At 43.0% G+C, this 14,649-nt stretch overlaps 1 protein-coding gene across 5 annotated transcripts in view, besides 4 other annotated features; it reads right to left on the bottom strand.

Annotated features, from left to right (window-relative positions):
* FANCD2 (FA complementation group D2) overlaps positions 1-14,649 on the bottom strand; it is a 75,496-nt gene that overhangs the window by 26,720 nt on the left and 34,127 nt on the right. For all 5 annotated transcript variants that reach the window (NM_001319984.2, NM_001018115.3, NM_001374253.1 and 2 more), the window contains 10 exons: positions 13,002-13,062; positions 11,302-11,421; positions 10,784-10,857; positions 10,338-10,484; positions 9,719-9,819; positions 9,234-9,349; positions 7,896-8,004; positions 2,232-2,342; positions 1,851-1,960; positions 540-683 (listed from right to left, as the gene is read on the bottom strand). In NM_001319984.2, the coding sequence (NP_001306913.1) occupies positions 540-683; positions 1,851-1,960; positions 2,232-2,342; positions 7,896-8,004; positions 9,234-9,349; positions 9,719-9,819; positions 10,338-10,484; positions 10,784-10,857; positions 11,302-11,421; positions 13,002-13,062 (1,093 nt within the window). The remainder of the gene's footprint in view (positions 1-539; positions 684-1,850; positions 1,961-2,231; positions 2,343-7,895; positions 8,005-9,233; positions 9,350-9,718; positions 9,820-10,337; positions 10,485-10,783; positions 10,858-11,301; positions 11,422-13,001; positions 13,063-14,649) is intronic.
* Positions 1-14,649: part of a biological region, named in NCBI's record as "3p25 FANCD2 Alu-mediated recombination region", that runs on past both edges of the window. NCBI's record gives its function as "recombination_partner: LOC107303341 | LOC107303342".
* Positions 4,026-4,990: an enhancer, noted in NCBI's record as "NANOG-H3K27ac-H3K4me1 hESC enhancer chr3:10111907-10112871 (GRCh37/hg19 assembly coordinates)". NCBI's record gives its function as "activates a minimal SCP1, AML or CMV promoter by ChIP-STARR-seq in primed H9 embryonic stem cells {active_cell/tissue: H9 hESC(primed)}" and the evidence as "EXISTENCE:reporter gene assay evidence [ECO:0000049][PMID:30033119]".
* Positions 7,397-7,698: a mobile genetic element, noted in NCBI's record as "direction; forward".
* Positions 7,596-7,616: a non allelic homologous recombination region, noted in NCBI's record as "AluSx1 recombination sub-region, recombines with the AluSx recombination sub-region within the 3p25 TATDN2 Alu-mediated recombination region". NCBI's record gives the evidence for it as "EXISTENCE:nucleotide sequencing assay evidence [ECO:0000219][PMID:19280651]".

Raw genomic sequence — 14,649 nt, 5'->3', positions numbered from 1 at the left:
AGACTCCATCTCAAAAAAAAAAAAGAAAATAATAATAATAAAGCTACCGTATTGCTAGCTATTTCCACTTCTTTGATTAGATTAGAAGTTATTTGAAAGCAAGCATGATGCTCTATGTACTACTGAAATGCAAGTGCTTTGATTAGTGGCAAACACAAAATAGGACTCAGTAAGCAACTGTCAGGTGCTGAACAAATGTTGTGAAAAAGTGAAAAGGGCATTGACTTCTAAGAACCAGAAGAGTGCTCCTCTACAAAAATAATCTAGGTAGCTTATTAGTAGTAGTAGTAGTAGTAACCTAAATGTAAGGATTACATCATTGGCATGATATTTTATAATGTCTGACACATTATTACAAACCTTATGACTTACAAACACCAGTATGAGGATGATTATTCATCATTGCTTTCACATATAAAGGCTTTAAAAGTCAGTCTAACTTCTCTCCTCAGTGTCACAGTGTTCTTTGTGAAATAAGAATAGACCTGAGGAACTTTCTGAAAGAAGATTAAATTCTGAGATCCTAGCCTGTCACTTACTTCAGTGTGCATTTCAGTATCTAAGATGAACTTCGTCACAAGTCCACAATGTAGAATAGAGAAGACCTCAATGTCCAGCTCTCGGAAAAAAGCATGGGAATTATGTAGTAACAATGATGTCTTTTCTTCCTTCCCTGTGAACTCCTATGGGGAAGTCACAGCAACAAAGAGAATATATAAATCTTCTATATTAATCGAATTTTAATAAAAACTTCAAAGTACAAATATGCATTTATTTAATGCAAAAAATTACATTTTCATTATAATAACAACTTCCTCTAGCCCAAGTCCCTAAATATTCCCAAGACAGAGCACCTAATTTAAGATGGGGATACAAGTCACACATCAAGACCCTTAACAGGTCATCTATTTAGGGATGATCTATTAGGCAAATCAAGGCATTTAGGTCTAGTACAGAAAACTGTGAGCTGGCCAGGTGTGGTGGTTCATGCCTGTAATCCCAGGACTTTGGGAGGCTGACGTGGGTGGATCACGAGGTCAGGAGTTTGAGACCTGCCTGGCCAAGATGGTGAAACCCCGTCTCTACTAAAAATACAAAAATTAGCTGGCTATGGTGGTGCATACCTGTAATCCCAGCTACTTGGGAGGCTGAGGCAGGAGAATCGCTTGAACCCGGGAGGTGGAGGTTGCAGTGAGCCAAGATCGTGCCACTGCACTCCAGCCTGGGTGACAGAGTGAGACTCCATCTCAAAAACAAAAAACAAAAAACAAAAAACTGTGAGCTTAGGGGCCAGAATGATCTGGCTTCAAACCCCAGCTCCAGCATTTATTAACTGTGTGACTTTGGGCAAGTCACTTGCCCTCCCTGGATCTTAGTTTCCTCCTTTATTAAATGTGGTATTAATATGAAACTTGGGCTCTTACAGAAACTATACCTAATAAATATACAATAAATGGTGGCTGATCAACAGAAATAATTGGGATCCATGTGGCCCAGGCAATTTCAAACACATGAAACTCATTCTACGAACAGTACAAATGTAAAGTAAAAGGGAACTACTGATAATCAAGTACCTCAAGAGAGAATTCAATGTACTGCTGGGGTACAAAAAAGGGAGTAAAACAGTCAAGAAAATAATTAGAAAAAACAGTCAACAGTGTGTGGCAGGAATAAGGACCTGAAGTCTAATCTGAACTTTGCTACTAAGGAGATTACTCCAACGCCTAAGAGAGTTTTGGCTCGCTGTTTCCTAATTTTTTTTTCTTTGTAAAATGCCGAGAATAAAGCTGGGTTTCTGTTAATCTCACTGGGATGTCACAAACCTTCACGGATACCCATCATTCCAATACCTTGTTTAGCTGGCCTCTATGAGATGGCGTAGGGTCACATTCTGAATTTTTCTCTTCTGAAAGTGTGTCAGAGGAGGATGTCTTGCTGCCATCTGTTTTTTGTTTCCTTTCTTTTATATTAAAAAGAGAAAAGTGACTCAAGTAATTAATAATCATGTTTGCCAAATATCATTGCCCTCAGAAAACAACCTGTTGGAAACTGCCTAGAGGTAGAAGAGGTAATTTTATAACCCTAAATTACAGTATATTTATAAATCTAATAAAGGAAGAGTTCAGTTATACAATTGTTCCAATTACTGATGCCATGATACACATAACTTTTAGGTTAATTCAATGAAGCTTATTTAGAGACACAAGACAAGAGGAAAAGAACATACTTACCTATTTTTCCTTTCTTTCTGATTTTTGCTGAAATAGCAGTAACAGTATGAGGTGTTATATCTAAAGTTTCCACATCAAAGTTTCCAAGAGGAGGGACATAGTCTGGGGTGACTGAAACAAACAGCAGGCTGAAGCTCAATGTGTACCAATTACACACCACCATTAGACTTGAAATTCAGTCACTCCATTGGCTAAAAACTAGTTTCCAAAATTACCAAGCATGGCTGAATGCTTATAAGACATATTCAAGTCATCTGACATTGTTTTGGCATAGCAAAATGGCCAGAGATAACACAGAAATATCATATTAAGTATGATCAATTATCATAAAACCACTTTAAATAATGATATATAACTAACAAACAGAAAAAAACTAAAACAAACATTTAAAATCTAAATGGTGGCCAGGCAGGGTGGCTCGCGCCTGTAACCCCAAGCACTTTGGGAGGTCAAGGCGCGCGGATCACCTGAGGTCAGGAGTTTGAGACCAGCCTGGCCAACATGGTGAAACCCTATCTCTACCAAAAATACAAAAATGAGCCAGGTGTGCTGGCAGACGCCTGTAATCCCAGCTACTTGGGAGGCTGTGGCAGGAGAATTGCTTGAACCCAGGAGGCAGAGGTTGTAGTAAGCAGAGATCGCACCACCACACTCCAGCCTGGGCGACAAAGCAAGCCTCTGTCTCAAAAAAAAAAAAAAAAGGGAAAGGTATATATATATTTATGGCGCACATGAGATATTTTGATACAGGTACACAATGTATAATAATCACATGAGGGTAAATGGGGTATCCATCACCTCAAGCATTTATCATTTCTTTGTGTTACAAACAATCCAATTATACTATTTTAGTTATTTTTAAATGTACAGTAAGTTATTGTTGACTGTAGTCACCCTGTTGTGCTATCAAAAACTAGATCTTGGCTGGGCTCTCTGGCTCATGCCTGTAATCCCAGCACTTTGGGAGGCCGAGGAAGGTGGATCACTTGAGGTCAGGAGTTCGAGACAAGCCCGGCCAACACGGTGAAACCCCATCTGCACCAAAAGTACAAAAATTAGCTGGGTGTGGTGGTGCACACTTCTAGTCCCGGCTACTCAGGAGGCTGAGGCAGGAGAATTGCTTGAACCCAGGAGGCAGAGGTCGCAGTAAGCCGAGACTGTGCCACTGCACTCCAGCCTGGGTGACAGAGCGAGACTCCATCTCAAAAATACAAAAACAACTAGATCTTATTCATTCTATCTAATTATATTTTTGAAGCTATTAACCACCCTCATTTTTCCCAGTCCCCCAACCACCATTACCCTCCCCAGCCTCTGGTAACCATACTTCTACTCTATCTCCATGAGTTAAATTATTTTAATTTTCAGCTCCCACAAATATGTGAAAATATGTTGTGCCTGGCCTATTTCACTTAACATAATGTCCTCCAGTTCCATCTGTATTGTTGCAAACAACAGGATCTCATTGTTTTTTATGGCTGAATAGTACTCCATTGTGTATACGGACCACATTTTATCCATTCACCCGCTGATGGACACTTAGGTTGCTTCCAAATCTTGACTATTGTGAATAGTGCTGCAATAAACATGGGAGTGCAGATATCTCCTTGGTATACTGATTTCCTTTCTTTTGGGTATATACCTACCAGTGGCATTCCTGGATCATATGGTGATTCTATTTTTAGTTTTTTGAGGAAACTCCAAACTGTTCTCCATAGTGCTTGTACTAATTGACATTCCCACCAACAGTGTACAAAGGTTCTCTTTTCTCCATATTCTCACCAGCATCTGTTATTGCCTGTCCTTTGGATAAAAGCCATCTTTTTTTTTTTTTCTTTTTTTCTTTTTTTTTTTTTATCGATCATTCTTGGGTGTTTCTCGCAGAGGGGGATTTGGCAGGGTCATAGGACAATAGTGGAGGGAAGGTCGGCAGATAAACAAGTGAACAAAGGTCTCTGGTTTTCCTAGGCAGAGGACCCTGCGGCCTTCCGCAGTGTTTGTGTCCCTGGGTACTTGAGATTAGGGAGTGGTGATGATTCTTAACAAGCATGCTGCCTTCAAGCATCTGTTTAACAAAGCACATCTTGCACCGCCCTTAATCCATTTAACCCTGAGTGGACACAGCACATGTTTCAGAGAGCACAGGGTTGGGGGTAAGGTCACCGATCAACAGGATCCCAAGGCAGAAGAATTTATCTTAGTACAGAACAAAATGAAAAGTCTCCCATGTCTACTTCTTTCTACACAGACACGGCAACCATCCGATTTCTCAATCTTTTCCCCACCTTTCCCCCCTTTCTATTCCACAAAACCGCCATTGTCATCCCGGCCTGTTCTCAATGAGCTGTTGGGTACACCTCCCAGACGGGGTGGTGGCCGGGCAGAGGGGCTCCTCACTTCCCAGTAGGGGCGGCCGGGCAGAGGCGCCCCTCACCTCCCGGACGGGGCGGCTGGCCGGACAGGGGGCTGACCCCCCCCACCTCCCTCCCGGACCGGGAGGCTGGCCCGGCAGAGGAGCTCCTCACTTCCCAGTAGGGGCGGCTGGGCAGAGGCGCCCCTCACCTCCCGGACGGGGCAGCTGGCCGGGCGGGGGGCTGACCCCCTGACCTCCCTCCCGGACGGGGCGGCTGGCCTGGCGGGGCCTGACCCCCACCTCCCTCCCGGACGGGGTGGCTGCCGGGCGGAGACGCTCCTCACTTCCCAGACAGGGTGGCTGCCGGGCGGAGGGACTCCTCACTTCTCAGATGGGGCGGCTGCCGGGCAGAGGGGCTCCTCACTTCTCAGACGGGGCGGTTGCCGGGCGGAGGGTCTCCTCACTTCTCATACGGGGCAGCCGGGCAGAGACGCTCCTCACCTCCCAGACGGGGTCGCGGCCGGGCAGAGGCGCTCCTCACATCCCAGACGGGGCGGTGGGGCAGAGGCGCTCCCCACATCTCAGACGATGGGTGGCCGGGCAGAGACGCTCCTCACTTCCTAGATGGGATGGCGGCCGGGCAGAGACGCTCCTCACTTTCCAGACTGGGCAGCCTGGCAGAGAGGCTCCTCACATCCCAGACGATGGGCGGCCAGGCAGAGACGCTCCTCACTTCCCAGACGGGGTGGCGGCCGGGCAGAGGCTGCAATCTCGGCACTTTGGGAGGCCAAGGCAGGTGGCTGGGAGGTGGAGGTTGTAGCGAGCCGAGATCACGCTACTGCACTCCAGCCTGGGCACCATTGAGCACTGAGTGAACCAGACTCCGTCTGCAATCCCGGCACCTCGGGAGGCTGAGGCTAGCGGATCACTCGCGGTTAGGAGCTGGAGACCGGCCCGGCCAACACAGCGAAACCCCGTCTCCACCAAAAAAGTACGAAAACCAGTCAGGCGTGGCGGCGCGCGCCTGCAATCGCAGGCACTCGGCAGGCTGAGGCAGGAGAATCAGGCAGGGAGGTTGCAGTGAGCCGAGATGGCAGCAGTACAGTCCAGCTTTGGCTCGGCATCAGAGGGAGACGGGAGAGGGGGAGGGGGAGGGGGAGGGGGAGAGGCATCTTAACTAGGGTGAGATGACATCACATGGCAGTTTTGATTTGCATTTCTCTGAGGCTCAGTGATGTTGAGCACCTTTTCACATATCCACTATTTGTATGTCTTCTTTTGAGAAATGTCTATTCAGACCTTTTACCCATTTTTCAATCCGAATAATTTTTTTTCCTATCTTTATATATTCCAGTTATTAGTCCCTTGTCAGATACATAGTTTGCAAATATTTTCTCGCATTCTGTGGGCTGTCTCTTCACTTTGGTGTTTCCTTTGCTATGCAGAGGAAAGGAACTTAACTTTTTAACTTAATGTGATCCCATTTGTCCATTTTTGCTTTGGTTGCCTGTGCTTGTAGGGTATTCCTCAGGAAATCTTTGCCCACTCTAATGTCCTGAAGAGTTTTCTGAATGTTTTTTGTTGTTGTTGTTAGTAGTTTCATAATTTGAAGTCTTAGATTTAAGTCTATAATCCATTTTGATTTTTGTATATGGCAAGAGATAGGGGTCTAGTTTCATTCTTCTGCATATGGATATCCAGTTTTCCCAACACCATTTATTGAAGAGAGTGTCTTTCCCCAATGTATATTCTTGGCACCTTTGCTGAGAATGAGTTCATTGTAGGTGTATGGACTTATTTCTGGGCTCTCTTCTGTTCCATTGGTATATGCATCTGTTTTTGTGCCAGCACCATGCTGTTTTGGTTACTATAGCTCTGTAGTATAATTTGAAGTCAGGTAATGCGATTCCTCCAGTTTCATTCATTTTACTCAGGACAGCTTTGGCTATTCTGGGTCTTCGGTGGTTCTATATAAATTTTAGGCTTTTTTTTTTTCTATTTCTGTGAAGAATGTCATTGGTATTTTAATAGGGATTGCCTTGAATCTGTAGATTGTGTTGGGTAGCATGGAAATTTTAACAATATTAATTCTTCCGATCCATGAACATGAAGTATCTTTCCTTTTTTTATTTGCTCTTTAATTTCTTGCATCAATGTTTCATAGTACTCATTATAGTGCTCTTTCACTTCTTTGGTTAAGCTTATTCCTATTTTATTTGTAACTTTTGTTTATTTTATTTGTAGCTATTGTAAATGGATTACTTTCTTGATTTTTTTCAGATTCTTAGTTGTTGGCATACAGAAATGCTACTCATTTTTATATGATGATTTTGTATCTTGCAACTTTACTGAATTTATCTAATAGTTTTTTGGTGGAGTCTTTAGGCTTTTCCAAATATAAGATCATATCATCTGCAAACAAGGATAATTTAACATCTTCCTTTCCAATTTGGATGCCCTTTCTTTCTTTCTCTCTCTTGTCTAATTGTTCTAGCTAGGACTTCCAATACTGTATTTTATAATAGTGGTATTATATAAGTGGGTATCCTTGTCTTGTTCAGATCTTAGAGGAAAGGCTTTCAGTTTTTTTCTGTTCAGTTTAATAGTAGCTATGGATCTATACCCAGTTTTCTGAGGGTTTTTTATGATGAAAGGATGTTGAATTTTATAAAATTTTTTTAAGCATCAATTTAAATATCATGTGGTTTTTGTCCTTCATTCTGTTGATAGGAGGTATCACATTGATTTACATATGTTGAACAATCCTTGCATCCCTGGGATAAATCATCCCATTTGGCCATGATGAATAATCTTTCTTTTGTTTGTTTTTGAGATGGGAGTCTCGCTCTGTCACCCAGGCTGGAGTGCAGTGGCACAATCTTGGCTCACTGCAACCTCCGCCTCCCAGGTTCAAGCGATTCTCCTGTCTCAGCCTCCCAAGTAGTTGGGATTACAGGTGCCCACAACCACGCCTGGCTAATTTTTGTATGTTTAGTACAAACAGGGTTTCACCATGTTGGCCAGGCTGGTCTCGAATTCCTGACCTCAAGTGATCCACCCGCCTTGGCTTCCAAAAGTGCTAGGATTACAGGCGTGAGCCACCTCGTGCCCAGCTGATATTTTTAATGTGTTGCTGAATTAGGTTTGCTAGTATTTTGTTAGGATTTTTGTATCAATGTTCATCAGGGATATTGGCCTGAGATTTCTTTTTTTGATGTGTCTTTGTCTGGTTTTGGTATCAGGGAAAGCTAAGTGCTTTATTGCCTCACTACTGGCCTAGTAGTACTACCAGTATAGGACACTTCTCTTACCTGCCAAGTACTTTTCCAGGATTATTTGCAATTCTACAATGTGCTTTAACCGAGTGAGCACCTTCCCCTTCATCTCAGGTGATGTTTCCTGGCAGAAGGCATTTACAATCTGCAAAGTACAAATTACATTCTCATACTTCCAAATGTTCAGATTTTAACCTTGTTTATATTATTTATCCAGAGCTGAGAGATGTCTATGAAAAGCAAGATCTTTGAGTTTAGTCTGTAATAGAACTGTCCTCAACAACGTGGTATACAGAAAAAAAATCTCTGGCCCAAAATATAGGAGATTCAGCCAGGCGTGGTGGCTCATGTCTGTAATCCCAGCACTTTGGGAGGCTGAGGCAGGAGGATCACTTGAGGCCAGGAGTTTGAGACCAGTCTGGCCAACATGGTGAAAGCCCATGTCTACCAAAAATACAAAAATTAGCTGGGCATGGTGGCACACATCTGTAATCCCAGCTACTAGGGAGGCTGAAGAAGGAGAATTGCCTGAACCTGGGAGGCGGAGGTTGCAGTGAGCCGAGATTGAGCCACCGCACTCCAGCCTGGGTGACAGAGCAAGACTCTGTCTCAAAAAAACAAAAAACAAAGGAGATTAGGCTTGTGACCCTAGTTTTACTTATTACTAGTTATGTTACAAGGTGGAATAGCCAGACAGCACACAATTTGGTGAAACAAGTTCTATACTGCTACTTACTGTGTGACCTTGGCTGAGTCTTTAACCTTTCTAAGTATTTCTTCATAAAGAAATGAGTCCAGCACTTGGTACAGTGTAAGTACTTAAAAATTTTTAATGACTTTGAACTCCCTATTGAAATTCGTATGTGTAAAATGAGGACAATAGCTATCCTGCCCGTATCATAATAGAGATGTGGTAATCAAATAAGCTCATTCAAGTGCACAAACATTCCTGAAATAATATCAGAGAGGAAGACAGTGAGGTAGAGATATAAGATGTTGCCATCATTGTCATTATCACCAAACACAAATACATTCTAATGGGAGGGAAACTACCACCACTCACTGAATCAAAACAGTAGGCATATGCCTGTGCCAGGACGAACAGTAGTTCCACAGTGAAGGTGAGAAGGTCATTCTAGGGAGAAGGCAGCTTGGAGAAAATAAAGCATGGGCAATGTGAAGTGAATTCTAAGTATTCTCATTTGGCTACCTAAGGAGGTTCATATAACTGGGGAGTGGTGGGACATAACAGCTAGAGAAGCACACGGGGGTTAGTGCTTGGTGAAGACTTCTAGGGAGTCTTGTGGGAACTAAGAAAATAGTTTTGAGAAAAACTATGCACAATAAGTGAAACATCCTATTAACTCTGCTCACCTCTCGGAACCAGTTGAGAGTAAGAAATATGAGAGAACACATGAATGAACGCTCTTTAGCAGACATGGACTCCAACTTCTCTCCAGGCTCCAGGTCAGTTAGGAATATAGGACAATCTGAGAGAGAACAAACATTTCCAACTACCTTTAGTGCAAGCCAATAAAACCTGGAGGTTGCCTCTGGAGCTAGCTGTCCTTGCTATTTACTTTCCCCTTTAACTCATATTTGAAGGCCAAGATCTGATTAAAATATTTGCATATCATATAGCAATCAACAAATATAACTAGAAAGTTTTTGCAACAATTGATTTGTTAACATAATGGGATTCTGTATGTACTATTTTGTCTTTGGAATTCCAATGATAAACTATTCTGCTGAAGTTAGAAAATTCCTCCCCACATACACCATGTATTGATCTGCCCTTTCCCTAAGTTTACCAAAGGAAGAGTATAAAGAAGAAAGGATCTGATGACTTCATCCCATACCTAGTAGACCATCAATCTCCTCCAAGTTTCCGTTATGCTGTCTCTCCACACAAAGTCTCAGTAACCGGAAATACGGAGCCAGGCACAGCGGAGACACCAATCTGAGAAGGAGAAATAAATTTCTAGACCACACTTCATAGGTGTATTACTCCACGTACATAGGGAGATATTACTCCACATACATAGGGAACACAACTTCTTTTTTTGAGACAGAGTCTTGCTCTGTCGCCCAGTCTGGAGTGCAGTGGCACGATCTCAGCTCACTGCAACCTCTGCCTCCCAGGTTCAAGCAATTATCCTGCCTCAGCCTCCTGAGTAGCTGGGATTATAGGTGCATGCCACACTGCCCGGCTAATTTTTGTATTTTTAGTAGAGACAGTGTTTCGCCACGTTGGCCAGAAAGTAATCTCAGAATATCTGTTGGCTCACACAAGGCAATATAAATCTCAAGCCAAGGATCCAAGAAAAAACAAGGAATCTGCCCCATTCTCCCTAACCTCTCCAAATACCATTTGTCTCGAGAGAAACTTTTTTGACTCAACTTCCCCACCAAGAGCTGTGGAATTCCCCATGAACATTCAAAACACTAACAGGTTTAGAAAAGAAAAACTATACTGACTTTTGGCCTGATTCCTGTGAGGTCACCGGACCCCCATCTTTTGCAAAGTCCTGAGAAAACAGCAGCGGCAGGAGGTTTATGGCAATCCCATCCTGAGTGTCGTATTCTTCCAGTCCGTACAGTGCTTTCACAGGAAATGGAAAGTCACTGCGGAGAAAAACCAGAATCTGATGTTGCAGCTCAGGAATACGCAAGGCTACAGGGAAAACCACTAGAGCAAACCAATTTCAAACACAACATCATGGGGAGAAATTAGAAGAACAAACAGTGAACCTTTTAGGAATTTTGGAGCTAAGGGTGCAGGGGTGCTGGGGTTGGGAGGAAAGAAGCTGTGGGACTGGGCAGCTGTGGCTGAGGTGAAGGGTATTCTGAAGTTTGTATCAGCTACTGACAGAATTGATGTAACTTCACCAGTGCAACCAAGCCAGCAGGTAAACAATACCTACCCTTCCGGAACAACACAGGAGTCCACTACGAAGGCATCCTGGAAATCATTACAGATGGTATGCCCAACCCATTCCTTCAGGAAGCAAACAAACAAAAAGGGCAGTGCAGAGTGTACTTGCTGTACAGCCCTAGATAAATTACTCTTAACCTTTCTAAGTCTCAGTTCCCTCATTTCTAAAAAGAAAGTAATAATAAATATCTCACTATTGTGAAGTAGAAAAGAGAGAGTGCATAAAAAGCACTTAGCACAAGGCCCAGCACAGAATAGGGCTCTCAGACAGATAATAGCCATCATCATTAACAAAGTCAATCTCTTCTTTACTATCGTGATTGTTATTAAGTGAAGGAGCCCTCAGAGAAGAGCCGTGAGACAGGGTAGGGCAGAAAAGCCTTTCCCAGTTAGAATTTAGGAGAGGTCACAGGATGATCTATTTTCACACTGCAACAGAAAGACTTGAAGAGTGTAGTAAAGCAGCTCTCATGCTTTATTGCTTTAAGAAAAGACAATTGGCTTTACCAGGGCTTTTGGATCCAGCTTTTCATGTTGGATCAGGTTGGCAAATTCATCATAGTAAAGTGCAGAGGCCTGAGGAGACTGCTCACTGCAGGAATGAACCAACTGCAACAAGGAGGTCACCTGGAGCAAAGAGGAAGAATGGTTTAAACCTTGGGCTGCCAATCTTTCCCAAACTCCACTCGCCCCTTTCAAGACTGTTTTTTCACTTTCTGATTTTACTGGCAAAGCTCTATGTCTCACTTGAAGTTTTCCTGAATGTTCTGACCCGTCTGTCTCCTTCTGATATCATCCCTTTTCCAATCTGCCAGACACTGCAGCCAGATTAATTTTTCTAAAGTAAACCTTTGATTTTGCCATTTCCATGCTAAGAAACCCTTAAGGAATACCTCTGCCTAAAGAATGAAATAAAAATGTATTGCTTTACATGCAAGGCTCTCTGTTTTCTCTCTCAAATAGCTTTTTCTTTTTTTCTTTTGAGATGGAGCCTTGCTCTGTCGTCCAGGCTGGAGTATAGTAGTGTGATCTCGGCTCACTGCAACCTCCACTTCCCGGATTCAAGCAATTCTCTTGCCCCAGCCTCCTGAGTAGCTGGGACTACAGGCGCCTGCCACCATGTCCAGCTAATTTTTTTGTACTTTTATTAGAGATGGGATTTCACCATGTTGGCCAGGCTGGTCTCAAACTCCTGACCTCAAGTGATCCTCCTGCCTTGGTCTCCCAAAGTGCTAGGATTACAATCGCAAACCACCGTGCCCTGCCTGAACTAGCTTTATGTCCCACTTTCCAATTATGTACTTATTTGTCCCCATGCTTCAACCAAAGTGTTATTCCATAAACATGGCATATCTTTCTTGCTAAGACTTTATAATTTAATTAGAGAGATTAAATGGATATAGAAATAAATGCAACTGGCCTGGGAGTGGTGGCTCACATCTGTAATCCCAGTGCTTTGGGAGGCTGATGGGGGCAGATCACCTGAGATCAGGAGTTTGAGACCAGCCTGGTCAACATAGCGAAACCCCAACATGGTGAAACCCCGTCTCTACTAAAAATACAAATTTAACTGGGCATGGTGGTGCATGCCTGTGATCCCAGCTACTTGGGAGGCTGAGGCAGGAGAATTGCTTGAACCCGGGAAGCACCACCGCACTCCAGCCTTGGCGACAGAGTTGAGACTCCATCTAAAAATAAATAAATAAACATAAAAATAAATGCTACCCAAGCCAGTAGTTTCCAAGTGTCAGAAAACCACAGAAGTAGGAGTTCAGGAAAACTTCTTTTACAAAAGAAGCACTTTCTGGTGAACTGACAGTGACTAGAAGCAATTCTTCAGTTACTCATAAACATATCCAATCACATTATAAGAACTCGGCCGGGCGAGGTGGCTCACGCCTGTACTCCCAGCACTTTGGGAGGCCGAGGCAGGTGGATCACTTGAGTTCAGGAGTTCAGGACCAGCGGGGCCAACATGGTGAAACCTCGTCTCTACCAAAAACATAAAAAATTAGCCGGGTGTGGTGGTGCGTGCCTGTAATCCCAGCTACTCTGGAGGCTGAGGCAGGAGAATCACTTGAACCTGAGAGGTGGAGGTTGCAGTGAGCCGAGATCTTGCCACTGCACTGCAGGTTGGGTGACAGAGCGAGACTCTCTAAAAAAAAAAAAAAGACAGGAAAAAGAAAGAAAGGAAAAAAAGAACTCACCTGTGTGCACTGCTCATCGCTCAGGTTGGCTCTCTCTTGGGTCAAACTAGGTGATTCACTTCTAAAAACAAAGAATTTTTTTTTAAATTATTATTATACTTTAAGTTTTAGGGTACATGTGCACAACGTGCAGGTTTGTTACATATGTATACATGTGCCATGTTGGTGTGCTGCACCCATTAACTCGTCATTTAGCATTAAGTATATCTCCTAATGCTATCCCTCCCCCCTCCCCCACCCCACAACATTCCCCGGTGTGTGATGTTCCCTTTCCTGTGTCCATGTGTTCTCATTGTTCAATTACCACCTATGAGTGAGAACATGCGGTGTTTGGTAAAAACACAGAATTTTAATTTCACTTTTGTAATATTTTGTAACAACTGCCAATAAGTTTAAGAATTCTGACTTCCCTAGGGTAGGGTAAAGATAAAAGTGCATGAAGGCAGCGAAGAGTATTTATTTTGTCCATACAAAATACAGATTAGAGCAAAGGATGGTTATCCTATATATTTTTTTCTTTTTTCTTTTTCGTACATATTTTTTAAGGGCAAATTAGCAATAATTAGAGGAAGCACTTAATTAGTGCATATTATGTACTAAACATTGTTCTAACCCTTTAATGTTCTCAATGACTCTATGAGGTAAATCCTATTATTATCCTTATTGCTGATGTGAGTCTACAAAGGCAGAGAGATAAAGTAACTTACCCAAGGTAATTCAGCTAATAAACAATGGAGCCAGAATCTGACCCTGGGCAACCAGTATGGCTTCACTGACTGAACTCTTAACTAGAGTTGCACACTCTGCAACCTCTTCCCATTATTAATGTGTGTCACAGGGGAGTGATGACTATCTGAGCCGGTGGCGGTTGGGGTGGGGTTAGAGGGAGAATTTACTAAGACAGTTGTAGGTAAAGAAAGGCAGATTTCTTAGAGAAAGTATAAAAGTACGTTGCAAGAAAGCACTGGGCAGCCAGCAATAGAGGAGCTGACTGCAAGGAAACAACGGCTTGCTGGGGATTTCTAGAGTAGTATTTATGATGTATGCTGTATGCCGAAGAGGGCTTTGTGCAGTACTGATAATGCCAAAGTTGCAGTGAGCTAACTTGCAGGTGTCTGGTGATTAAGTTGGGCGCAGGAGGGCTGCATGTCCTGCACCATGAAAAAAGGCAGACTTACATACTTTGTCTTTGCTTTCTTTGCTCCCACCATTGTGACTCCTTTTCCCTAATTAGGATTCCACAATGTGGATTCTAAAGATGTCTCCTGATGTCTCAGAAAATAAATTCCAAGGAGCATGAACTGAAATCCAATGTCGGTTTGTAATGGCAACATCTTATCAAGCCCCCAAACCGATATTTCTTTAGATTCTACAAATGGGGCCTCAAGGAACAAGGTGAGGGGAAATACACAAGATCTTATTTGTATCAAATGTATAAAGTTCCCGACAGGAATGACACAGCAATGTAGACACCTGCATTGTCTAGTGCCTATATCAGGAGCAGATAAAGAAAAATGCATTCTAAAAGAATCAGGGTTCCCATTTTGTGCAAAGATTTCTAGAATTTTACCTCTAGCCAATCCTTAATTTTTAACCACAGACTGTAATGGCTAGGATCACATTCCAGCAAAACATATACATGGTAATA

The sequence above is a fragment of the Homo sapiens genome, chromosome 3 (genome assembly GCF_000001405.40).
Source record: "Homo sapiens chromosome 3, GRCh38.p14 Primary Assembly".
Taxonomy (NCBI): domain Eukaryota; kingdom Metazoa; phylum Chordata; class Mammalia; order Primates; family Hominidae; genus Homo; species Homo sapiens.
Note: the sequence above shows the minus strand (reverse complement) of the source record. Positions and strands in the feature narration are given on the sequence as shown.